Below are 26,937 nucleotides of genomic sequence, written 5' to 3'. Positions count from 1 at the left end.
TTCTCACTGGGATATAAGAAAATTTTCAAGACCATGAGAGTATTGCCTTTGAAGATAAAATTGGATTATCTAGGACTCTGTCTAACCAGAGCCCAACCTTCTGCTTTTAAATCTACCATTAGTCTTGCTTCTGCAATGTTAATTCCAAAGAAACCGCAATCATTTCAGCAGATATAAGTCTGCCCTTCTACTCCCTTCAAACCTGCTCTGTTATTCATTTTAAAGATGTTCTGGAAGAGCCAATATAGTTGCTGGGTTGCCTCAGGGTCTCCTCAAAGGCTTGTTTGAGGATCTGATTTAGTGACAAGGTTTAGTATAGGTAAGGACAAGACTAAAAATACAATTTATCTAAAAGTATTCAGCATAGGCTCAGCACATGGTTGGGGCAGGGTGTTTCTTGTATATGAATCCTCAAATCAACACTGTTTCCTGGAGATTGAGTCTGTAGATGGATGCTATAGATCTAATATAAATCAGCAAGTATTCCCCTCCACCTCTTCATGCTCCTTGGAAAATTCAACAAGTATTCTATAACATTTTTTTAAGACTATTAATTGTGCCAGGGTTTTTAAAAAATGTTTTACTTTCATTTGCTTTTCTATTTGGAGATCACCTTCATTATCCTCTGAATTCTGGTAGCTGTTTTCAGCAGTGCAGAGAGGCCCCTCATTGATTCACCTACTTAACACCGTTTCTACCAGCTTTCACTTGCCATTTGATGGGGAAGTTCTTCCTGTTGCATGAAATGGCAAGTGCAAGCTTATCTAGTAAGAAGTATAATCTGCCATTGCAGAAACTAAGTCTCCTGAGGAAGGATGAAACCTGTAACACAGGCCCCATCTGTAACACACATTGATCAGCTGAATAACTCCCACAGGGCCAGGTATTTAGGTGGCATAAGATAACATAAACATTTTGCCATGGTCTGGAAGTGTGTGTTTTATCAGAAAGAAAAAACAATGGCTTTTGTGTCTTTCATTTTCCATTCATGTGTTTAGTATCATGATTTATGAAAAGATTGTAAATTGGTTACTATGAAGCCAAGATGGCTATTTTATTTTCCTAGATGTTACAAATTTTAATTTCTGTCAATAATGAGTGATGAGAAAAATAAATCCTTATTCAATTAAGTCACCTTAAATGGAGGACAAATATATTGAATTTAATTCAATGGCTTCAGGGAAAGTTCAGTTAATAACCCTGGATCCAGGAATTTAGAGGAACTCTGCAGAGTGCTCCAGTCACCACAGCTAGTCAGTTCATCTTGACCCTATATAATGTTGAAAAATTTATACTCCCTAAAATATGGGAGAATCAAGAAATTATTTTCTATGATTTTCTTTAAAACAAATATGTTTTCAAATATAAGCAATAAACAGTTTCTCTTCTAGTAGTACATGGATAGTATTGGAAGCTGTCCAGTAAAATGAAGAGTGTACTTTATTTGGAAGGTGGCCAATACAAAATGATAGATGTGGTTATATATTCTTTATCTAATAGAGCCTATAAAGCAGTTTTAAAAAATCTATGATTTACCTAAATAGCAACTCCAGTTAAACAAATTAGTTAGGAAGAACTTTCAGCTATTCAACTAAGAGCAATAAATAAGATTTCAAAATCAATCACATAATTCTTTTCTGAGATTATGCCAAGACTAACCATATAATATATTGGCTTTCATTTATCCTGGCATTAATGTGTATTATAGATTCTGTTGGTTTATGACCTCCTTAAAATGCATAAAACATAGTGATAAAAGGAGAGTTCATTTCTGGGTCTTTTTAAAGAACAGCCTGTCAACATGTTCTGTTCTACTTCTGGCTTAAACCTTTTTCAATTCTGAGGTCCATAAGGGCACATTTATAAGTTGTATTATTATGATATGTTTAATGAAAGCCCTTTGTGTTTCTATTAGATACTTTTTATATTCTACCTTCTCATATAAATGTTATGGAGCTTGTTGTATCCCTTCTAACTGAATTGTAAACTCATTGAGAGCAACCATTATATCTTACTCATTTCTATACTTCAATTAGAGCCAAGCAATAGCCATTGTATACTGGGTGATCTCTAAAAAGGTCTTGGATAAAACTGATGACAACTTGTAAAGGATTTCTACTTAATTGAAAGTGATGATGGCTCAAGGCCAAGAAAACATGCTGCAGCACGAGGTAGAACTTTCTTTTGGGAGACATCATTATGATTCCATAGTAACTACAAGCAGTCTAGGTAAGGGTGTGGTAAGCATCCTTTCTTTGATTTACAGGGAGAAGTCTCCAGATATATTCGGTTTCTTTTCCTTTGAACTGGTGGGCCAAGTTGAAGGATACAAGTATCCTATCTCTTTGCAAGTCTACCAGCAGTTTTACTGGTGGATGTCTCTTTAAACCTTTTTATTCCTTTTTCAGAAATAGTGGTCCCTACAGACTTTAGACTCTTACTGAGTCTGCAGAAGGCTGGGGAGGGAAGGGCTAGACTTTGATAACAGGAGTCCTATCTGTCCTTTTACAGACCTGGGGAGACCTCAACCCCAGACACTTCTGTAGAGCCCAGCAGCCTGTCACTAAGAGTTTGTCATAAAGCATAATGTATCCCTTGTCATATACATGAAGTTTCAAATTTACCTCCCAATTCTTAACTACCAGTTGACAATTTTCATGACTTTTTGGGCATAGGTCACAGTAACAGTTTATAAAACCACTCCATTATTAGCATTGTATTAGGCATTATGACAATATCAAAATACACACATGGTACATGGCAAAATCATGACATTTATAATCTACCTTGCAAGTTCGTATGTTGGAAATTATATCCATACATGGTACCTTAGAGCAATATGTACTATCTGTTGTACTATCTAATACAATAGTATAGTACATATTGAAATGTCTTTAAAACTATTGTGAATTATACAAATGCCAACATTATTGACACAATGTATAGGAAATAATGATAGCTAGCATATACAAAAATATTTTATTAAATTTGTTGTATATATAATTTGTTATAATGGTACTGTAACATTTGGTACTGATCAAAATCAAACGTGCCTTCCTATCAACTGACATCAAAAGTAAAAATACCAAGAGACATTCTTGAAGAAACTGTATGAAACAGTATGATAAAGAGACAATTAAGGAAGGTAGCAAAATTCATTTTTTCATGATGCAGAATTTGTACCTTTGGAATTTTGTACCAAATGAATGAGTTGCCTATTTCAAATATTAATTAAAATCTTCATAAGAAGACTGAACTTATTCCACTTGAGTCTCCCGTTCTTTATCATAGAATTCAAGAACTAGAAGAAAAGGTTAGTTTCAAGTCCTCATTTTACAGATTTGAAAACTAAGCTCCAAAGAAAGTACTAATACAGCCAGTCTCTCTTTTCAGAAAAATTAGAAAAAATGAAATACATCTACAAAATGAAATTTCGCAAATACTTAGTAGAAAATACCCACATAACTAATCCAAATCAATTTTTATTTTATTTTTATTTATTTATTTTTTTTTGAGACAGGGTCTCACTCTGTGGCTGAGGCTGAAGTGCAGTGGCACAATCTCGGCTCACTGCAGCTTCCGCCTCCCAGGTTCAAGCGATTCTTGTGTCTCAGCCTCCGGAGTAGCTGGGACTACAGGCGCATGCCACTATACCTGGCTTATTTTTGTATTTTTTGTAGAGATGGGGTTTCGACACGTTGGCCAGGGTAGTCTCGAACTCCTGACCTCAAGTGATTCTCCCACCTCGACCTCCCAAAGTGCTGGGATTACAGGCGTGAGCCACTGTGCGTGGTGCCAAATCAATTTTAACAAGCTTCTTTTTAGACTAGATTGCCAGTTTGCAATGATTGACTTATTTAGGACCACGTTGTTAACAGAAGTAAAAGAGAAGATCAGCCAAAATTAGATGCCAGTTTAGTGACTCATTTAAAGACAACTTACATTTCTCGTTTTGGTTATTTTGTACAATTTGTCTCTCAGCTTTGCTCTTTATGACCTTGTTTTCTTAAGAAGAAAAAAAATTAACTTCTACTTTGCAGTAAATTAATTGTGCAATCAGTGAGTCTTTTCTGTAATAGTTTACTATAAATCAAATCTCAATCATTGGAATAAGAATAATGAGAAGGAGAAAGAGGAAAGGAGGGGAAGAGCAGAGAGGAGAATTGTAGGAAAACTCAGAAAAAAGAAATCTCTCATTAGTATGGTGTAAGATATTTAGAGATAAAGCCTCTTAATGCTGCAGTCATTTTGTTATACTTCCTACACTTCTGATCCAAGTCCATTTTCACAGAACCACCAAATCTAAAAGCTGGGAGGGATTTTTGAAATTCTCTAGTTTCATTTATAATTCTAATCTAACAAATGACAAAAACTGAGTTCAGAGAGGCGAACTGACTTTTTTTTTTTTTTTTTGAAAGAAGAAGCTGACAAACTAGTAAAAAAGCCTCAACCAGAATTCAGGTTTCCAGGCTTCTCACAGAAGCCATTTGTTTTGTTTTCCACGTAGAAGTTGGTAAAAAGGTAAAAAGCTTGTTTAAAATGACAGCTTTAGTTAGGCTGTAATTTTTCAAAACATAGAAAAAGATGAAAACTTTCTCTCCTTATTTGCATCTATCCTTCTAAGTTTTAATTGTTGACCAAGTAACAGCTTCATAAGCATGAGCAGAGAGGTTCATTCCATGCCTAAAACCAAGCTGCTTCTAGCTGTACAAAATGAAATAGCTATCTTCAAAAGGAAGTACAAATCCCCTGTAACATTTGGGGCAACTCAAGTTACTATTGGATTACTGTGAAAGTTGGAAAGATAAGCCCAAAATCATATTTGGCTTTATTTTCTGCATTCTCATCTGATAAAATGAGGTTAGTGATGTGTGTACATGTGTGGTGTATGGGTGTGTATTTGTGAGAATGTGTGTTGTGTGGGATGTGTGTGTCTGTGTGTATGTATTTGTGAGAATGTGTACTGTGTGTATGTGTGTTGGGGGGGTGTTTGAGTTGGGGTTGAATGGTGGAGATTGATGTTAACTAGTTTTTCCAGTATCTATACCTGAAGCAAAATAATCTGCCTCTTGCCAGAATGTGATTTTAAAAGGTACAAGGCAAAGCTGTATCCTGTGCTTTGGTGATAACACTAATCAATAATTACAAGCTATTCTTTTGACAGTTTAAAATTTGTTGATGATGTTGGTGGTGGGAGTTGGCCATTTGATATTTAAAGCCAGCTTTAATTTAATTTAATTTAATTTTTATCTGTTTTCCCTCTCAGAAATTTAGGCAAAGTTGATTCTCAGCATCCATCAAAGGAAAATGATCATAGCCAAAATACTTGGAGCTTTCACTCAGCAGTTGTATGTTTGAGGCTTTGGAAACACAACATGTTGATCTCAGGTTTTTATGCTAATTCTGTATATAAGGAAATGGGGAAAATCTGTTACCATTCCCTTGGAAACCAAAGTGTTCACAGTATTAGTAGCTAAATATGGTTACAATTTAGTGTTAATCTTCATTCTAAACATCACTTAATATGTGAATTCTTAAGGCATGCCAATGCATCACACAGAGCAGAGACCTTTCTTGTCCTGTTTAGGGTTGTGTCCGTGGCACCTACAAGACAGCCTGGCACAAATACATGCTGAATGAATGCAGAAAGGAAGAAGTCAGATGTTTGGTTCTAGAATCCTGTCTGTCTTTTTCACTTTAAACAGCTCCCTGAATATATATGTTATCAAACAGCTCCCTGAATATATACACTTTAGTTCTGTAGGTTTCATAAAAAGCTCTTGAGGGCCAACTCTGGGCCATCCATGGTGCTTGGCAGTAAAGTAAAGGTCTTTACCTATGAAAAGCTTACGTGGTAGCCTGGGAGAGGGACATTCAAATATTCTCTTCACTCCGTCACTCTTCTGCAAGATAAGGACCTGGCTGCATGTTCGTGTGGTTCTTGGTACTTTACCACCCACAGTATGCTTTATCTCTGGCTAATTGTGTTTCCTGATCAACAGAAAAGACAGGGAAGATACTATGTTTGCCAGCAGACTCCTGGTGTCTAGTTTATTACCAGCATACGCTGAAGGCTCAGTAAATATTTGCAGATGGAAGAGAGTGAGAGAAGAATGAGAGAGGTCCTGTGGAAAAGTGTGAAGGTATGCACAGGCTACTCTGGGTATTTTAGGAAGTTTCTGGAAAACTTCAGGTAAAGCTTCTTTTAGAGCTGTGCCTTGAAGGTTGAATAAAAGGTAGTCTCGAAGACAAAGTAGGTGGAGGTTCCTAAGCTGAGGGCCGTCCACACAGTTGTGGAGGTAGTGACTTAGCATGAGCAGGGGAGTGGTCTGCAAGCTCACAAGCACCACTAGAACTGGAGGGTGGTATCCATACTTGGATAACAAAAAGGTCACATATAAAACTAGTTCTTTTTACATGTCAGAGCTTTAAAAACTTAACTACACATTGCTATGGATTTATTTGGCCCACTGTTTTCTTTTTGGCCAACTAAACACCATACTGAAAAGGTAGATCTATGACGTATTCTGTTAACTAAAAGTCTCTCTTGGTATTTCAACAATTTTCACTGACATCCTAAATTTAAAACAGATCAAGAATTTTTTTTTGAGTTAAAGATCGTAAGAGAGAACTTCTCATTCCCCCTGGTTTCTGTGCTTGCCCTTTAAAGGAGTTTCTCTCTTTTGAAAGTATTCACTCATTCTATGCCACTTGAGGAGTGACTTAACTGGTAAGTAACTGGGCAAAAGGCACTTCATGTGGAGCCACATTGTTTCCCTTACTCCATTGGAAGTTGCCAAAGCATGGGCCTGTGTTCCCTCTCTGCAGTGAGTTCACTCCAACTGCTCAGTCCCAGCTCATGAGGGAGCACTGTAAGATCCAGGCTCTCTACTCCTTCTGGGAAGAAGCTCAGTTCAGGCTGGGAAGGGAAGGGCTTGGTCTCTCATGCACGTTTTGTTTTCTACTCCCGCATTAACAATAATGAGGTTGATAATAAATTGATCCATACGTGATTTATGTATCTATTTCTCATTTGCTTTAGAATTCTGAAAGGAGATATACATGATTAAGTGGAACTTTCCAATCTAAACAAATGTTACAATAAAGCTAGTTTTATTCTTGGTCTGTTTGTTGTATGTATGTGTATGTGTATTGAGAGACGGGGAGAGGAGAGGAATGAGAGAGACATACATATATTAACTTTCGTTAACCGGATGTTAAATTAGGCAGCAGGACCTATTCTCTGATGATGCTAGTTATTATAGTTTAAATGAAAATAATCTCTTGGCTCAGCTAAAAAATCAAAAGCAATAAATATGCCAACTACCTTCACTGAAATAACCATTACTTGTTATTTTAAGTGTTTTCGAAAATTTAACTTGTCACCTATTTTCTCTTTAAAGTTTATTAGCTTTTTGGATTCTGGATATTATTTTCCCAGGTGGAATTCTGATAATAACATAAATTTATTTCTACTAATCAATCTTTTTCAGATCATTTGGTATCTAAGTGAAGAATATTATAAGTGAAGTACCAGTATATATTTTAATAAGAAATTATGGTTTATAAAGTGACTTTATATATATTATTTGGAATAGTGACTCTTAACCATTTTATATTTAATAACTATTTAGCATATAATAAAAGCTATTTACCTCTTCTTAAAAATATATATGAATGCATATGTTCACAGAAATTTCTCAAACCCTGGGAAGGCAGGGTTCTTGGAATCAGGCTCTACAGTAGAGATCTGCCACTATATGTAGCTCAAGGGCCAAATCTAGCCACTGCCTGTTTTTGTATGGTCTGAAACCTAAGCATCGCTTTTACATTTTTAAATGATAAATACCAAAAGAGGAATATTTTTGACATATGAAATTTAAATATTGGTGTTCATAAGTAAAGTTTTATTGGAACACAGCCACACTCATTCATTATCATACTATCTATGGCTTATTTCCAGGTACAACAGTAGAGCTGAGTAATTTTGAAGACTAAAGTATTATCTGGCTCTTTGTAGAAAACATTTTGCTGATCCCTAATCTCAAGTTTAAAAGTACATTTTCTGCTTTTAATTGTATTTTGCTGGGTGTTTGTTAAAGTATGCTTAAGTTTAATTAGGATTTGAAAAGAACTTTCTGTACACTACTTTAAAGAATATATATTTACTAAATGGTTTTAAAAATAATACTAGAAGTCATTAACATGGTATTCGGAAGAGTATTTAATGGCATGGTGAAATGCTTATAATTCTCTAAGTGGGAAAAAAAGTGTGAAATAGAATAATCAGTATGACCTCAATTATATAATTTTTTTTTTAAGTAGAAACAAGTTTAGAAGAAAATATGCTGAAATGTTAAGGCTCTTAATTGAAGTTAAGGAGTATTTAAAATTTTACTTTTCAGTACCTTTCAAATTGTATACTGTAATCTATCACTTTGGTAATAAGGAAACATAAGAAAAATATTGAAAAAAATGGGAGTATAATTGTTTAATTTAAAAAACAATTATAGGTCAAAAATTAGAATATTTTGGGCCAGACGCGGTGGTTCATGCCTGTAATCCCAACACTCTGGGAGGCTGATGTGGGCGGATCATGAGGTCAGGAGATCGAGACCAACTTGGCTAACATGGTGAAACCCCGTCTCTACTAAAAATACAAAAAGTTAGCTGGGCGTGTTGGCGGGCACCTGTAGTCCCAGCTACTAGGGAGGCTGAGGCAGGAGAATGGCGTGAACCCGGGAGGTGGAGCTTGCAGTGAGCCGAGATTGCGCCACTGCACTCCAGCCTGGGCCTCCGTCTCAAAAAAAAAAAAAAAAAAAAAAAATTAGAATATTTTGTGATAGTGTGACTATCAAAATGTTCAAGGGAACAAATGAATAGACTGAATGTAATTACAAGACTAGAAATCATTTTTATAAATGAAATCTTAATTTAGATAGCATGACAGCTTGGTGTCGGATTTTTTTCAAATGCAAATTATACCCATGAATCTAAGGAAGTGTTGATCTTTATGTGACAAAAAAGCTTAAAGAAAATTGGAAGCATTTTAATTCTATACTAAGAGGCATTTGGTCAAAATTGATGATAGACAGTTCCTTGTCAATAGGAGCCTCTTTAGTGTTCATTAGCACAATAGAGAGTTTCATGATATAAAGAAAATTGAACACCTTGACTTTTTCAGTAGGTTTATATTGGCTTGATCTAACTGATCAATAAATGAATGAAAATATGAATGAATGAATTACATGTATGTATGACTTTTTGGTACTGTCAAAGATAATAAATAGTTTGATACCTTGATCAGGAGAACGGTTAATCTTCTTTCTAAAAGTATTAAAGGTCAGAGAGATAGCAGCAAGATAGCCAACTAGAAGCCCCTAGTGCTTATGCCTCTGTCAAAGACAGCCAGAACAATGGAAAAGCAGCTGCATTTTAAAACTAATAGAAACTTGGGTGAGCACAAAAACTCAGGATGGCTACATAGAGAATAAGGAAATGCCAGGCCTTCACCATCCCATCCCCCAAGTGGGATCAGCTGGAAGCCAGGAGGAACTTCTTATGGTGAGGAGGTAAGCAGGATGACTCCAACAATCTCCATCAACACCCTGGACACCAACAGACCTTCCCACTGGTGTTCTCTGCAGTCTTCTTAGGCACCAAGCCCACATGGTGAAGCTGCCTGGAGTCTATATAGCTGTGCTTAGCCAGAGAAGGAGTTGACACTGTGCCCCACCTGCTGTGGCCCATGTGACTATTGGCTATGGCATCTTGGAACAGGAACTACAGCTAGACTGAGCCTTACTCAAGGAGTAAGTAGTCATGGCTCCCCTTCATCCCTGAGACTAAACCACCCCTGAACCACCCCATCCCCAGAGCCCCACATCCCCAATATGTGCTGTTAACAGCTGTTAACACTTTTTCCTGTGGGGTCAAGTGGAGGTGGAATTGCTCTACCAACTCCTCCCCCTGCCCCTGCTGAAGCAGCATCCTGTCTCTTGGGAAAACAGTACCTTGGCTATTCAGAGCAGTCATGTCTCCCTGGTGTCTAAGTTGAAGTGGTGCCCTGCATCCTAGGAAATTGTGCCTTGGCCATCCAGAGCAGTCATGCACTCCATTACTTAAGCTGAACTGATGCCCCGCATCCCAAGAAAACAGTGCTTGTGCAGCCCAGAACAGTCACATCCTTCAAGCCTGAGCTGAAGTGGCACATTGTCCCTTGGGGAATTAGTGCTCTGGCTGAGCTGAGCAGAAACTGAGCTGAGACACCTTGCTCTATAAACTGAACAATTTTAGACTTCGATTCCCCAGCACTGGCCTAGCTCTCTAGAGTCTCAGATGCAGAAGTACCCCTCTATCTAGGGAGTGGAGTCATTGCTGTGTTTTTTCCTACCCACCTGTCACCCAGGGAACAAACAACAGCTGTCCTCCACCATTCTGGAGTACTGAAAGCAAATACACTTGGCCCCACACATTCTGGGATACTGCTGAGCACCACTATCCCAGGGTCTACAATCACTACTACCCAGTGCCTCATCCCTTGGAACCTGAGTTGACACTGAGCCCTATTGACTCAGGTTTCTGAATTGCAGCCATACCCTGCTCCCAAGGCCAAAGTTCCAGAGCACTCCTTATTCCCTGGAGTCAGGCCAGTGCTGTGCCCTGCCCCCCAGGGGTAGAATCACAGCTACAACCTGGCACCCTGAGCCTGAGCTGCTAGGGGGTCCCTCAGAATCATAGATCCTGGCTCTATGGGTAACCTACATCCAACCCTGCCACAAGGGGTGAAGCTGCACCCCAAGCCCAGTTGCCTCAATAGCTTTATGAGATACTGAGCTGAAAACTCCTACTGCATGTAGAATCCTGATCACTGCACGTAGAACCCATGCCACTGCAGCTGCTTGTAGGCCATGTCAGACTTGACACCAAAAGGGATGCGCTCAGCTAAGTCTCCTTATTTTAGAGAAAACCAGAATAGGAGGACCCCAGAAGCCCTTAACACAAAGAACATTAAAAACTTATGTTGCCAGTGCCATTGCCACAAACCTCTAAGCGTAGGCTATGAGGCACCCACAGTTATTCCTGACCTTGAATACAACTGAAGAAGCTGCACAGAGACTCTATCTCTATACCTATCTGGAAACAGAGTCACTACACCTTTTCTAACTGCACAGTAAAACTCAACTGCAGGATGAAAGACTTTCTTTATGAAAATCACTCCAGAAAGTTTGAAAAAGGTGATTATTTCACTAGATACACAGACATCAATGCAGGGACACAAGAAACATGAAAAAGCAAGGAAATAAGAGACCAACAAAGGAATATAATAACTCTCTAGTAACAGACTCCAATTAAAAGGAAATCAATTAATTGCCAAAAAAATGTAAAATAATGATTGTAAGGAAACTCAATTAGATACAAGGAAACACAGATACACAATTAAATAAAATAAGAAAAAAATTCACAATATAAATGAAAAATTCAATAAAGAGATAAAAATCATAAAAAGAACAAAACAAGAATCCTGCAGTTGAAGAATTCAATGAATAAAATATAAAATACAATAGAGAGCTTCAGCAGCAGACTTGATCAAGCAGAAAAAAGAATCTCTGAACTTAAAGCTAGGTCTTTTGAAGTTACCCAGTCAGAGAAAAGAAAAAAGAAATAAGAATGAAAATGAGTGAAGAATTCCTATAAGACTTATTGGAAAACATTAAACAAACAGATATTTGTATTATGGAATTTCCAGAAGGAGAAGATAAGGAAAAAGTATAGAAAGCCTGTTTAATAAAATAATAACTGAAAACTTCCCAATTTAGTGGTGGGGGTTGTGGAGGAGGGATATTTGAACATCCAGCTCCAGGAAACTCAAAATTCCCCAAATAGATTCAACCCCAAAAAGGTCCTCTTAGAGGTACATTATAGGCAAATTGTCACAAGTCAAAGACAGAGAGTTCTAAAAACAGCAAGAGAAAATTGTCAAGTCACATAAGAGAACTGCATTAGACTAGTAAATTTTGCTACAGAAACCTCACAGGCGAGGAGAGAATAGAGTTATAAACTCAAAATGGTGAAAGAAGAAAAAAAATTGCTAGCTAAGAATACTATACCCAGCAAAGTTATCCTTCAGAAATTAGGAAGAAATAAAGCCTTCTCGAGGTAAGCAAAAACTGAAGGAATTTGTCACCACTCACCTGGCCTTACCAGAAATGCTTAAGTGATTTTCACTTACATCTGGAAGTGAAAATCACTGTCATGAAAACACACCAAAAGTATAAAGCTCATTGGTAGAGCAGATATATGAGGAGAAAGAGAAAAGAATCAAACCTTGTCACTACAGAAAACCACCAAACCACAATGATTAACTATAAGAGAAAAAGAAAGGAACAAAAGATATACAAGACAACAGGAAAACAACAAAATGGTGGATGTTAAGTCCTCACTTATCAATAATAACCTTGGCTGTAAACAGACTAAATTCCCAACTGAAAAGATATAGACTAGCTGAATGAATTAAAAAAAAAAAAGACCTAAGTATATGCTGCCTAAAAGAAACTCACTTCACCTAAAAAGACACATATAGAATAAAAATAAGGGATGGAAAAAAAATCCATACAAATGGAAACCAAAAGCAAGGGAGAATAGCTATACTTATATCAGGTAAAGCAGACTTTAAACAAAAAGAGACAAGGTTATTTTCACTTCAGCAAGAAGATGTAACAATTGTAAACATACACACATCCAATACCACAACATCCAGATTTATAAAGCAAATAATTAAACCCAAAGGAGAAATAGATTTCAGTACAATTATAGCTGGGGACTTCAACACCCCTCAGCATTGGACAGATCATTCAGGCAGAAAATTAACAAAGAAACATTTAATTTAAACTGCACTTTAGACCAAATGAACCTACCAGACATTTACAGAACATTTCATTCAACAGCTGCAAAATACATATTCTTTTCATTAGAAAATGAAACATTCTTTAGCATAGACCACGTTAGACCACAAAACAAATCTTAACAAATTTAATAGAAATCATATCAATTTTTGACCACAATATAATAAAACTAGAAATCAAAATAACGAGGAACTTTAAAAATTGTACAAATACATAGAAATTATACAACATGTTCCTGAATAACAAATTAGTCAATGAAGAAATTAAGAGGAAGATTTTAAAATATCTTCAAACAAATGAAAATAGAAACACAAAATACCAAAACATCTGGGGTATAGCAAAAGCAGTATTAGAAGGTAAGTGTGCAGCAACAAACACCTATATCAAAAAAGTAGAAAGATATCAAATAAACAAGCTCATGATGCACTTCAAGAAACTAGAAAAGCAGAGTAAACCAAGCCCAAAATTAGAAGGAAAGAAAGAAAAGCATACATAAATAAAATTAAGACTAAAAAATACAAAATATCAACAAAATGGAAAGCTGAATTTTTTTGAAAAGATAAACAAAATCAACATTCCATTGGCTTGACTACCCAAGAAAAACGTAAAGGTCCCAATAAAATCAGGAATGAAAAGGAGACATTACAACTAATACCATAGAAATACAAAAAATTATCAGAGACTATTATAAACAGCTATATACCAAAAACTTTAGAAGACCTGACAGAAATAGGTAAATTCCTGGACACAAACAATCTATCAGAAGTGAACCAACAAGAAAGAGAACACCTGAACAGACCAATTACAAGTAATGGCATTAAGTCTGTAATAAAAAGTCTCTTATCAAAAAGAAGCTCAGAATATGACAGCTTCACTCTGGAATTCTACCAAAGATTTATAGAAGAACTAATACAAATTCTCCTCAAATTCTTCCAGAAATTGAAGATAAGGGAATTCTTTAAAACTCATTCTATGAGGCCAGTGTTACCTTGATACCAAAACTAGTCAAGGATGCAACAACAAAAAAAGAAAACTATAAGCCAATGAACATGATGAGCATAGATGCAAAAATCCTCAACAAAATACTTGTGAACCAATCTGGCAGCACATTAAAGAGATTATTCACCATGTAGGTAAGATTTACCTCAGGGATGTAATATACAAATGAATAAATGTGATACATTACATCAACAAAATGAAGGGCAAAAACAATTTGATCATCTCAAGAGATAGAGAAAATGTATTTGAGAAAAATTCAACATCCCCTCATGATAAAAATTCTCAACAAGTTAGGTATAGAAGGAATGTACTTCCACATAATTAAAGCCATGTATGACAAACCCACAGCCAATATCACACTGAATGGAGAAAAGTTTAAAGCTTTTCTTCTAAGATTTGGAAGACAATCATCTCACTTTTATTCAAAAGAGTACTGGAAGCCCTAGGCAGAGCACTTAGGCTAGAGAAAGAGATAAGGAGCATCTAAATTGAAAAGGAGGTCAAATTGTCCTCATTTGCAAATAACAAGAGCTTCTATATAGAAAATCATAAAAGCTCCACCAAAAATCTCAGAACTGATAAACAGATTCAGTAAAGTTGGAGGATACAAAAAAAAAAAAAAAAAGAATACAAAAACCAGTAGCTTTTCTATACACCAAAAACAAACTAGTGGAAAAAAAATCAAGAAACAAATTGCATTTATAATAGCTACAAAAAAAGCCATGTAGGAATATATTTAACCAAGGAGGTGAAAGATCTCTACAATAAAAACTGCAAAACACTGATAAAAAAAATTGAAGAAGACACAAAAAATGGAAAGATATCTCATGTTCATGAATTGTAGACATTAATATTGTAAAAATTAATACAATACTACTAAAAGTGATCTACCAATTCAATGCAATGTTATCAAAATACCAGTGATGTTCTTCACAGAAACAGAAAAAAACTCCTACAATTTATATGAAACCACAAAAGACCCTGAATAGCCAAAGCAATCCTGAGCAAAATGAACAAAGCCGGAGAAATCACATTTTGAACTTCAAAATATATTTCAAAACTATAGTAACCCGGATAGCATGATATTGGCATATGAATAGAGACATAGAACAATGGAGCATAATAGAGAACCCAGAAATAAATTCACATATTTACAGCCAAATGATTTTCAACAAAGCTGCCAAGAACATTTAATGGGGAAGGAACAGTCTCTTTGAAAAATGATGCTGGGAAAACTGAATATTCATATGCAGAAAAATGAAACTGTATTTCTACCTCACATAACATGTAAAAATCAACTCAAAATGGATTAAAAACTTAAATATAAGACCTGAATCTATGAAGCAACTAGAAGCAAACATAGGGGAAATACTTCAGGGTATTGGTGTGAGCAAAAATTTCATGGATAAGACCTCAATAGCACAGACAACCAAAGCAAAAATAGACAAATGAAATTATGTCAAACTAAAAAGCTTCTGCGCAGCAAAGGAAACAGTCAACAGAGAAAAAAGACAACCTGCAGGACAGGAGAAAGTATTTGCAAACTATTCATCTGACAAGAGTTTAATATTCATAATATAAAATGAGCTCAATAGCAAATAAAAAATCACATTAGAAAGCAGACAAATAAGCTGAATAGACATCTCTCTAAAGAAGACATACAAATGGCCAACAGGTAGGTACAAAAAATGGTCAATGTCATTAATCATCAGGGTAATGCAAATCAAAACCGCAAGAAGATATAATCTCACCCCAGTTAGAATGGCTATTACCAAGGAGACAAAAAAAAAATGCTGACAAGGATTTGGTGAAACACAAACTCTTATATGTTATTTGGAATATATGCATATATATGCCCATTATGGAAAACAGTTTGAAGGTTCCTCAAAAAATTAAAAATAGAACTACCGTATGATCCAACAATCCCACTACTGGGTATATATCCAAAGGAAAGGAAATCAGTATGTTAAAGAGATATCTGTATTCCCATGTTTATTGCAGCACTACTCACAACACATAGCCAAGATATGAAATTACCTAAGTTTCCATCAATAGGCGAATGGATTAAAAAAAGTGCTATATATCCCAATGAAGTATTATTTAGTTGTAAAAAAGAACAAATTTCTGTCATTCACGGCAACATGAATGAGCTTGGAGGACATTATTTTAAGTGAAATAAGCTAGACACAGAAAGATAAATACTGCATGTCCTCATGAATATGAAGAAGCTAAAAAAGTCAATCTCATAGAAGGAGAGAGCAGAATAGTGCTTACTGGAAGCAGAAAAGGGTAGGGGGAAGAAAGAGATAGCCAAAGGTAGGTTAAGAAATACAAAATACAGCTAGATAGGAGGAATAAGTTTGAGTGTTCTATAGCACTATAGGGTAACTATAATTAGCAATTTATTGTATATTTTCAAATAGCTAGAAGAGTGGATTGTAAATGTTCCCAACACAAAGAAATGAAAAATAAGGTAATAAATATGCTATTTACCCTGATTTGATAATTTGTCATATACATGTATACAAATATCACATTGTACCTGATGGATATGTACAGTTACATGTCTATAGTAATACTAATAAAAGCAAAAAAGAAAAAATTTAAGAAGAAAAAAATCTTAGAAGTCATGTGACTTATGACATGTTACTTAAATTGTTTTATGAATAATTGTAAGAGATAGTTAAACAAAATCAAGCTGGAGAACAAGCCCAAGAAGCATATTTCTCCACTCCACTTCCACACCACCATCTTTAGAGCATTATAATTGCAATGATATTGGAAAAATACAAAAAGGTATATTTTTAAATGGGAGGAGACAACCTGAATATATCAAAATAATCTACTCAGGATCCATTTGGTGAGTATTCCTTTGGCAAAATGAATATGCAAAGGAATCGCTCAAAGCTTTGCTAAAAATCAAGTGAGATAAATTTAAGGTCCATTGGTGCTGGAAGTATAACCGAAGAATTTGAGAAGACAAAAAATAAAAATGACTACTGTTATTATTATTCTAATATAAAATTCTATAACACAGCTGTTTTAATTATATCTTTAAGGTAGGGAGGCAAACTCACTTGCCCTCATTCATAGAAAACTCAGTATGAATGACACTTCAAAACCTTGACTCTGTTCTCCACATCACACTATTGTTTTCAAAGAGACTCTCTAGCTTTATTTATTTAATGAATGTAAACCTTGCTGTTGACATATCCTAGTATGTTCTAATCAGGGTAATTAGCCCATGTGAAAGTTTAGACATATGGTGAGGATAAGGTAAACCCAAACCCATAAGAATGTTTTACTAGTTCATATAAAATACTAGGGTATGTCATCAATAAGCTGATTATTTATTTTTATTTTAAATAGAGTCTCCCTATATTGCCCCAGCTGGTCTTGAACCCTGGGCTCAAGTGATCCCCACGACCTTGGCCTCCCAAAGCTAGGATTACAGAAGTGAGCCACCGTGCCTGGCCTCAAGCTGATTATTTTGCAGGGATTTGAGGCATGTTGGGCAAAAAGGAGTCCTCCTTCTCCTCCTCTTCCTCTACCTCTTTCTTCTCTTCCTCTCCTTCAATGAGCTTTCAGGGTACCAAAAAGTAACCAAGAAAAATTATGGTAATTGGAGAGGAAAAAGATAATTACAAGAACAAGGAAATGCAAGCTGGTTTAACTAATATCTGATTCAGAGCTTCCCATGCGAACCCAAGTATTCAGCTTTCATTTCTAAAGAGATCATGTTCCCTCGATTGAAAAAATAAAAACAGACAAATTAAATATCTGTCTCTAAATATTCTCTAAATCTCTAAATTTTCTAAACTCTTATTTGTAATATTATAGTAGAAAAGTACCCAGTCTTATGTAAGAAACACAGATTAATTCAGCTTTACTCAAAATGTTGGTAAGTGTAATAAAAATAAGAGGTAAATTTGTCAGTGAGGTGGTGTTATATTAAAACACAAATCTACTACTCTTGCTTAGGTAGAACAGTCCCAGATTTGGCAACTAATAATAATGTGAGAATAAATAGAACAAGTGTAGAAAACAGACACTAGAGTTTACCTTCCCCTTAAAGCAATTTGGATTATGGCTTAAAGCATATATCATAACACATATGTTAAGAAATATCTTGTATGATACATATGTTTGCAATACCTATGTTAAATTTTAATCCATATGCTTTGCTAATAAAAATGCTAGTATTTACACATGATGGTATTGTGGATATAAAATGAGGGCTAAAATGGCTCAAGGATTTCCTTACATTTTATGTATGAGAGCTATGCATTTTGTTAATAATTCTTTTTAGTTTCCAATTTTCTAAAGTCTGAAATGACAGCTGAGGAGCTGCATTTGGTTTTCAAATGAATGATAGGTACCAAAGAGGATATGACTAAAATAGTGAGAGAGAAAGCATTAACACATATGGGATGTATGCTTTTTGCCTGAATAACACTACCTCTGTTTCAAGAAGTAGCACTTTAGATTGATATAGTCTATTATATATTTCTGTGGGCTGGAAACACAGATATTTTAATTTAACCTTAGAAAATTAAAGATTATGAATTTTTGTATGCCCACTTCTGGAAAGTAGGCAGATTTTTCTTGAAAATAGCAGGAATCTCATTAACTCCTTTTACTTAAAACCTGTAAGTGACTTCAAAATGTGCTCTTGAAATATAAATCTAGTCATAAAATATGCTCAGTGATAATGTTATTCATTCAAATAAATTAAGCCAAATAAAATCTCAAGAGCCCTCCTCTTCTTCCTCTTTTTACAACAATAAAGCTATACCCCACATTAAGACCATTAGAAAAACTCAAGAGGCAATTCCAAGGAGTTATCTGGCCCCTATGTTACCTCCACATGCAAGTTATAAGAATGAGAAATCTGAAAAGCTCAGCATATAAAATTTGATAACCTTTAGCTAAAATGGCTAAGAAACTTCAAAAGGCATACACTTTTGCCAAGCAAAAGTTTTCTCTTAAGTAGTTACTGGAAAGTTTATAAAAATTTCTCATCCTTAAAAAAAAATTAGAGAAGTCAAAATACCACAAAACAAAACAAAGGAAATATTTGGGGGAAAGAACTCACTTTGTCTTAAAGCCGCTTCTTCCTGTGATTTAAACAGTACGAAAGGAGAATATATGTTGATTATTTTTCCTCCAATCCACATGCATGTCAACTCCAAAAGGAACAGAAAGTCACCAGCACCATCTGAAGATCCCTTCCAACTGCATGCAGCTTTTTCAACTTTGCAGGAGAAAACAGAAGGGTCCCTGCATTTCCTCCAAGTCTTATACCGTGTACATGACTCCTACTGGGCTGAAAAAGCACTATTTGTCAATTTTTACTTAAAACTATGAGTAACAAATTCTCTGCAGGACATCCTTAAAGGGAAATTCTGCCAGGATTAGCATTCGAAGTATCTGGCTAAGCTCCAAAAAGTTTAAAATACACAATGTTCACACAGACGCATACACACTTGAGAAATTTCCACTAACTAGGCTAAATTAAGGGCATATTTATAAAAATAATACTCTAAAAGGATGATGTATTTTCTGTTTCCTCAATCTGTTTTTGGCTTTGTTTTCTTTGTTTTCTGGTGGTGATCAGAACCCTTCTTTTAGGTTAGAAATGTCTGAACCGCTGAGCTTTTCTTTTGGACATTGTCTCTTAGAATCTCCTTTTGAGGCCATCTGGAAAGGGATGAGGTCCCATGCTCTTACCTGCAAAATTATTGGTACCTTAAGAGATGGCCCCCTGGATTGTGGCCTCTATCTCTCCCTTCTTGGGAAATTGGGGAACTCTGAGACATAAGTTTGAGTAGAATACTCAAGGTAGTTCCCTGCTCTCTGGACTTGCAGTGTGGACTCAGCCTTCCCCGCTCTGCCTGCTTCCTGGTGAGCTGGCCACAATTGTGACATCACATCCATGGCTCTATGACTTCATAAAGCATAAACTCATTGAGTCTTTTGAAATCTTCAAAACACAAAAAGTGGACAGAGATGTCAAGAGTTGGATCTGAAGAAATTTTTGGATATTAAACCAATCCATAATAGGTATCCTCAGTGGGGCACACTGATTCATAAGGCAAGTGACATTTTCTCTTAGAATCTCCATTTGAGGCCATTTCTTCAGTTTGGAAGGCAGGATGAGAGAAGAAATTCTGCCTTAATCCCAGACCAAACTTAAACTGTCCTTGTTCTAACTGCTAAAGGAATGAAATGTTAATATCTTCTAAGGTCAAACTCGGGTATATACAGTCAAAGAACTTGAGCTAGAGAAATGCAGAGCCAGTTAACTGTATGTTTTGTTATTCACTTGACTTTAATGATTAAGACATTATGAAAATGAACATATGGCGACTAACAACAATAAATTTGGATTCAGCAAAAGGACACAAGTATATTTCATTAGTAATAGATTTTAATCCTTAGGACACCATTGCTAAACAGGTACTGCCTGTATTTTCCTTGTTTTATGGGCAAGGAAAGCAGTCCTTGAGATGTAAAAGTGCCTGGGACCATCACCCTCTTTATTTGCTCCCATGCTTCCTGAGAGGGTAATCTACATCCACCAAGTCATTCCAAACCTACTACATTCTGAGCCTTCTTCTCCCTCCCAACTTATTGCAATCTGTCTTTCACTTGAACCGCTCCAAAAAAGCTTCATTAAGATCATATACAACCTTGATTAGCAACCCAAAGAGTATGGTCTTCAGTCTTACCGAAAAATTCTCATCTCTGGCCATGTCTATTTCTTTCTGAAATTATCTTCCCTTGGTTTTGCTATGTTACACCCTTCTGATTTTCTGTTTGCTCTTAGCACCCTCACTTTCTCTCTATTCACCTCACTCTTCCCTAGAGCTTTATCTTCTGTTCAGTATGCTTCTCTGCAGACTTTCCATCACGTTCTTCATCAAAACAATGAACAATTTTATACAACATGACTCCCAAATGTGTACTTTCATCTGATACCACTCTTCAAGGTTCCAGACCTGTATCCCGCTATCTATTAGAAAACCTTGTCTAGGGGTCCCCAGCCATCTCAAACTCAACAGTCCCAAATATCCTTATTGTCTTCTCCCCATTCCAAACTTGTTAGTTTGCTGTATTTCCTACTTCAGGGAATGGCACAATCATCCACCCCTTATGTTAGAGTATTCCCTTTCCTCATTTATCCTCCACCATCCCCATCATTGTCCACCTTCTGTAGGTTCTAGTTTGTTAAATGATCTTTCTCAAATTTGTCCTCACCCCTGCATTCCATGTCTCACATGTCTCACTCAGATTATTCTGTCAGCCATAAAATAACTGGCATCTGCCTCAGCCTGATCCCTTTCTATCCTTCTCTATAGAAAAATATTATTTTTAAATAAGTTTGTTAAATTATAAAATACATGCTTCTTGCAGATAATCTGGAACAGAAACTGGAAAACATATACAGAAAATGTAAAATGTAAAATGATTTGCAATCCAAGACAGCCCAGACCAAATCTTTGTGTACCTCTTTAGGCTTTGTATCATTCATATATTAATGATACAGAGAAATGCTAAAATTTTTTGTAAATATATTGCATAACATAGTTATGCAGTATATTTAGTTAGAAAACCAAGACCACATTGTATATACTTGTAGAAAGTGCGAGATATTTTTCTTTTCCATTACTAGGTTTATGGTTGAGGCCCCTATAAAAAAAGGCAAATTAATAAAAGTATACAAATTATTTAATGTAAGTTTTTATGGGACATGGGAGCCTTTCAGAAATGAAGACTCAAAGCAAGAGATAAACGTGTGTATTTTTATGCTTAGATTTGATGAAGAGTGGATAGTCATGGAAAAGTATGACTGGACAAAGGGGATATAGTCTAATGATTATACACTCGGGGGAACTTAGCAAGGCCTGTTTGTTTAGACTCTTCTTTGTGTTCCTTTCTTCCAGGCATAGGGAGGTCTCTTGAATGAGGGTCTTATGACCTGCCTCGGGAGAGAAGGGTAAAGGGAAGGTGGGAATGATCTTCCTGCTTCTGGAGTTTTCTCAAACACCAAGGTGCCATATTTTAGCGTAGTGCATCCTGAACCCCATTATAAATCTGTATCCTTGTTTTCACTTAATATACTGTAATTTTCCAAGCCAATAAAATATTTTTTATTTTATTATTATACTTTAAGTTCTGGGGTACATGTGCACAACATACAGGTTTGTTACATATGTATACATGTGCCATGTTGGTTTGCTGCACCCATCAACTCATCATTTACATTAGATATTTCTCCTAATACTATCCCTCCCCCAGCCCCTCACCCTACAACAGGCCCCGGTGCGTGGTGTTCCCCTCCCTGTGTCCATGTGTTCTCATTGTTCAACTCCCATTTATCAGTAAGAACATGTGGTGTTTGGTTTTCTCTTCTTGTGTTACTTTGCTGAGAATGATGGTTTCCAGCTTCATCCATGTCCCTGCAAAGGACACAAACTCATCCTTTTTTATGGCTGCATAGTATTCCATGGTGTAGATGTGCCACATTTTCTTTATCCAGTCATTCACTGATGGACAAGCCAATAAAATATTTTTAAAGTGGCTATAACAAATAGTTGCTATGTAATAAAATACATAATGGAATAGCTCTCCTTTTTTTTCTCTCTTTTTTCAACACCAAAAGATACACTCAGCATTTAAAACATACAAATCACAGGACTGAGATTAAGACTGAAAAGAGGAAAGGAGAAAAATCTAGAACATTGACTTTAAGTACATTTACATTTATTAGGTTGTATTTAAACAACAATATGTTCTATGTGTCAAGTCTTCAAGTTCTTACCCAACTCTGAAGTCTGTATGATAGAATTAGGTTAAGGACTGCATTTTAGATGAGTAAAGACAGGCTCAGTAGTAAAACAGTTTGACAAAGCACTTTTACTTCTTTACATTGAGTAACACAAAACATGAGACAACCTTTGAGACTTTTGTCTTAGGTTGACTAGTCAGATCGCAGTTTTTCTTTGGCAGACTAGTATCTGAATAGACTATTTCAGAGCCAAGATTGGCCTGTTTCTGTGCAAGAGAAGGTGTCCATGTTCCTCTCTACTAGAGGCTGGGAAAAAAGACTCGTATACATTTTTTAGTCATTTTAATTCTCAGAAAAGGAAGACATTAATTTCACGAATAATATGTACATTTTAAAGAATTTTGGTAAATTGCCAAATTGCTTTCCAGAATGTAATTTTTTTAGAAGACAAATGTAATTACTTAATTTCCCTGGTTAGTTGAATCTTTTAAAGGCTTCCATGTTTTTGAGATAGTGGTTGAACTTTGTAGCTTAGTGTTTAAGGCATTTCAAAACCCCCCTATTCTCTCTACTTTATCTTACACTACTTCCCCAGATCAGTTATTATATTTCTCAGACTTCTTGGCTCCCCACATCTCATTATTTCATTCTAATTAGCGTCATAGTACTTCTGTACCTCCTTTTCTCTGCCTTAATATGCTCTCCTTCCCTTCTCTCATTTTCACCAAGGCTAATCCTTCTTTTTTTCTCTCTGGACTCTTGGTTCAGGTGTTATTTCCAGCCTCCCCATTGTGCAACACAGTCTAAATTTCATTTCTTGTCACAACACCCTCTGTGTACTTTTACCAAGACACTATATTTAACTGTAATTATTGACTTGTTATTTCTTTGAAAGTAAAACATACCTTTAAAGTTGATATGTGCCTTCCTAGTATTTAGCTGTCATACACGATCGAGTAAATTAGGCCAAGTCCATAAATTCACCATGTTCTCCCTTTCCTCCATTTCACCATCAATGTAATCCTGTCTTTCCTGCTCCTTAAAACAAACACCCAGATTGTCTTACTACTAATCACTTCAGAGAAATAGAGATGCAACTAGGGGCAAGTTTGATAAAACAAATAATACAACACTGGGAACTTATAAACATTGAATACATGTTTACAGTGGTTATTCCTTCTTTTTTATGATGTAAGTGTAATACAAATTGTTTTTCTGAAAGCCTGAAAGTCAGTTTCATTCTTAGAAGGTTTGAAAGAAGCCTCTCCTGGATCTATTTATTCTGTTGTACGCTTAGTAGGGTCCTCAAGATAGAGCAACTTGTGTGAATTTGCAGGTCATTTAAATAGCCACTTGAACAGTGCTCCCAGATTTGTGTGGAAAATGTACATCCCAGGGGAGTTTTGTGTGTGCATTTATTACATCTCCCATGTATTGGGGGAAATTCTTCATTGGTCTTAGTGAAAGAAAGTAAATCTTCCATCCTCTTACTCCCTCCCAACTCACATCAGTTACTTCTTGATAGAAAAAATCCCATTTGTTTCTGTGAAATGGTTTGGCTGTGCCTCCACCCAAATCTCATCTTGAATTGTAACTCCCATATTTCCCATGTGTCATGGGAGGAACCTGGTGGGAGGTGATTGAAATGTGGGGGCAGGTCTTTTCTGTGCTGTTCCTGTGATAGTGAATGAGTCTCAGGAGATCTGATGGTTTTAAAAAGGGGCGTTTCCCTGCACAAATTCTCTTGTCCACCGCCATGTGAGATGCGCTTTTCACCTTCTGCCATGATTGTGAGGCCTCCCGAGCCATGTGGAACTGTAAGTCCAATAAACCTCTTTCTTTTGTAAATTGCCCAGTCTTGAGTATGTCTTTATCAGCAGCATGAAAATGGTAAATTAGTACCAGTAGAGTTGGGTGCAGCTGAAAAGATACCTGAAAATGTGGAAGTGACTTTGGAACTGGGTAGCAGGCAGAGGTTGGAAGAGTTTGGAGGGCTCAGAAGAAGACAGGAAAATGTGGGCAAGTTTGAAACTTCCTAGAGACTTGAATAGCTTTGCCCAAAATGCTGAGAGCAATATGGACAATAAAGTCCAGGTTGAGGTGATCTCAGATGGAGATGAGGAACTTGTTGGGAACTGGAGCAAAGGTGACTCTCGTTATGTTTTAGCAAAGAAACTGGTGGCATCTCTCCCCTGCCCTAGAGATCTGTGGAACTTTGAACTTGAGAGAGATGATTTAGGGTATCTGGTGGAAGAAATTTCTAAGCAGCAAAGCATTCAAGGTGACTTGGGTGCTATTAAAGACATTCAGTTTTATAAGGGAAGCAGAGCATAAAGGTTTGGAAAATTTGCAGCCTGACAATGTGATAGAAAAGAAAAACCCATTTTCTGAGGAGAAATTCAAGCCAGCTGCAGAAACTTGCATAAGTAACAGGGAACCAAATGTTAAATCACCAAGACAATGGGGGAAAATGTCTCCATGGCGTATCAGAGATCTTCACGGCAGCCTCTCCCATCACAGGCCCAGAGGCCTAGGAGAAAATGGTTTCGTGGGCCAGGTCCACGTGCTGTGTGCAGCCTAGGGACTTGGTGCCCTGCATCCCAACCACTCTAATCATGGCTTCAGAGGGTGCAAGCCCAAGCCTTGGCAGCTTCCACGTGATGTTGAGTCTGCGAGTGCACGGAAGTCAAGAATTGAGGTTTGGAAACCTCCGCCTATATTTCAGAAGATGTATGGAAACGTCTGGATGCCCCTGCAGACGTTTGCTGCAGGGGCGGGGTCCTCATGGAGAACCTCTGCTAGAGCAGTGCAGAAGGGAAATGTGGGGTGGGAGCCCCCACACAGAGTCCCTACTAGGGCACCGCCTAGTGGAGCTCTGAGAAGAGGGCCTCTGTCCTCCAGACCCCAGAATGGTAGCTCCACTGACAGCTTGCACCATGTGCCTGGAAATGCCACACTCAATGCCAGCCCATGAAGGCAGCCAGGAGGAGACTGTACCCGGCAACGCCACAGAGGGGGAGCTGCCCAAGACCATGGGAACTCACTTCTAGCATCAGTGTGACTCAGATGCAAAACATGGAGTCAAAGGGAGCATTAAGATTTGACTGCCTGCTGGACTTTGACATAGGGATTGTAGCCCCTTTGTTTTGGCCAATTTCTCCCATTTGGAATGGCTGTATTTACCCAATGCCTGTATCCCCATTGTATTTAGGAAGTAACTAACTTGCTTTTGATTTTATAGCTTCATGGGAGGAAGGGACTTACCTTGTCTCAGATGAGACATTGGACTGTGGACTTTTGAGTTAATGCTAAAATGAATTAAGATTTTGGGGACTGTCGGGAAGGCATGATTGATTGGTTTTGAAATGTGAGGACATGAGATTTGGGAGGGGCCAGGGATGGAACGATATGTTTTGGCTGTGTCCCCATTCAAATCTCATCTTGAATTCTGACTCCCACAATTCCTACGTGTCATGGGAAGAACAGGGTGGGAGGTGATTGAATTATGGGGGCAGGTCTTTCCTGCTCTGTTCTCTTGATAGTGAATGAGTCTCATGAGATCTGATGAATTTAAAAGGGGGAGTTTCCCTGCACAAGCTCCTCTTCCCTTGTCTGGCATCATGTGAGACATTGCCTTTTACCTTCTGCCATGATTGTGAGGCCTCTCCAGCCACATGGAAATTTAAGTCCAATAAACCTCTTTCTTTTGTAAATTGCCCAGTCTCGGGTAGTCTTTATTAGCAGCGTGAAAACGGACTAATACACTCTGGTTCTAGTGACATTTCTGAGGAAGGAATGAACTGTTCCTTTTCAGTCTGATTCCAGCTTCAGATCACCATTGCACCCTGACCTTATCCATGGTGCTTTTTGGTCTAAGTAAAGCATTTCTCTAATAATACATTCAGGTTAAGCAACTATTACATTTATTGTCCTAATTTAGCATTAAGGTCTTTTCACAAAATACACTGTGATTTTGATACTATATGCCACTCTTCATCGGATCTTTCTGATGGCCAAGAGTTTCCTTAACTCTTGAAAAGCACATAAGTAAGTCTAGAGCTGGAACACATGAACATGAATACCTGAGCACATTTTCCAATATTTCTACCCCGACTGCAATAGCAGGAATTAGCATATGCAAGAATACAGCTACACATTTGCTGAAATCTAGTTAATTGAGAAATAATTTACTAAGATAAAATGGTTTGAGAATGGCAAACTCTCAAGGAATGAAAGACACTG

General features: G+C 36.8%; 1 protein-coding gene across 5 annotated transcripts in view; it reads right to left on the bottom strand.

Annotated features, from left to right (window-relative positions):
• Window positions 1-19,781, bottom strand: part of FHL5 (four and a half LIM domains 5) — a 56,053-nt gene extending 36,272 nt beyond the window's left edge. Inside the window, exons 1-2 of one of the 5 annotated variants that reach the window (NM_020482.6) lie at window positions 19,635-19,781; window positions 19,000-19,230 (exon numbers count right to left, since the gene is read on the bottom strand). The gene's annotated coding sequence lies outside the window, so the exon portion shown is untranslated. Of the gene's footprint in view, window positions 1-18,999; window positions 19,231-19,634 lie in introns of those variants that run through there. The other 4 variants (XM_047419567.1, NM_001170807.3, NM_001322467.1 and 1 more) reach the window with 4 other exon arrangements.
• Window positions 19,782-26,937: the final 7,156 nt, after the last annotated feature.

The sequence above is a fragment of the Homo sapiens genome, chromosome 6 (assembly GCF_000001405.40).
Source record: "Homo sapiens chromosome 6, GRCh38.p14 Primary Assembly".
Lineage (NCBI taxonomy): Eukaryota > Metazoa > Chordata > Mammalia > Primates > Hominidae > Homo > Homo sapiens.
The sequence above is the reverse complement of the archived record's forward strand: the minus strand, read 5'-3'. Positions and strand labels throughout refer to the sequence as shown.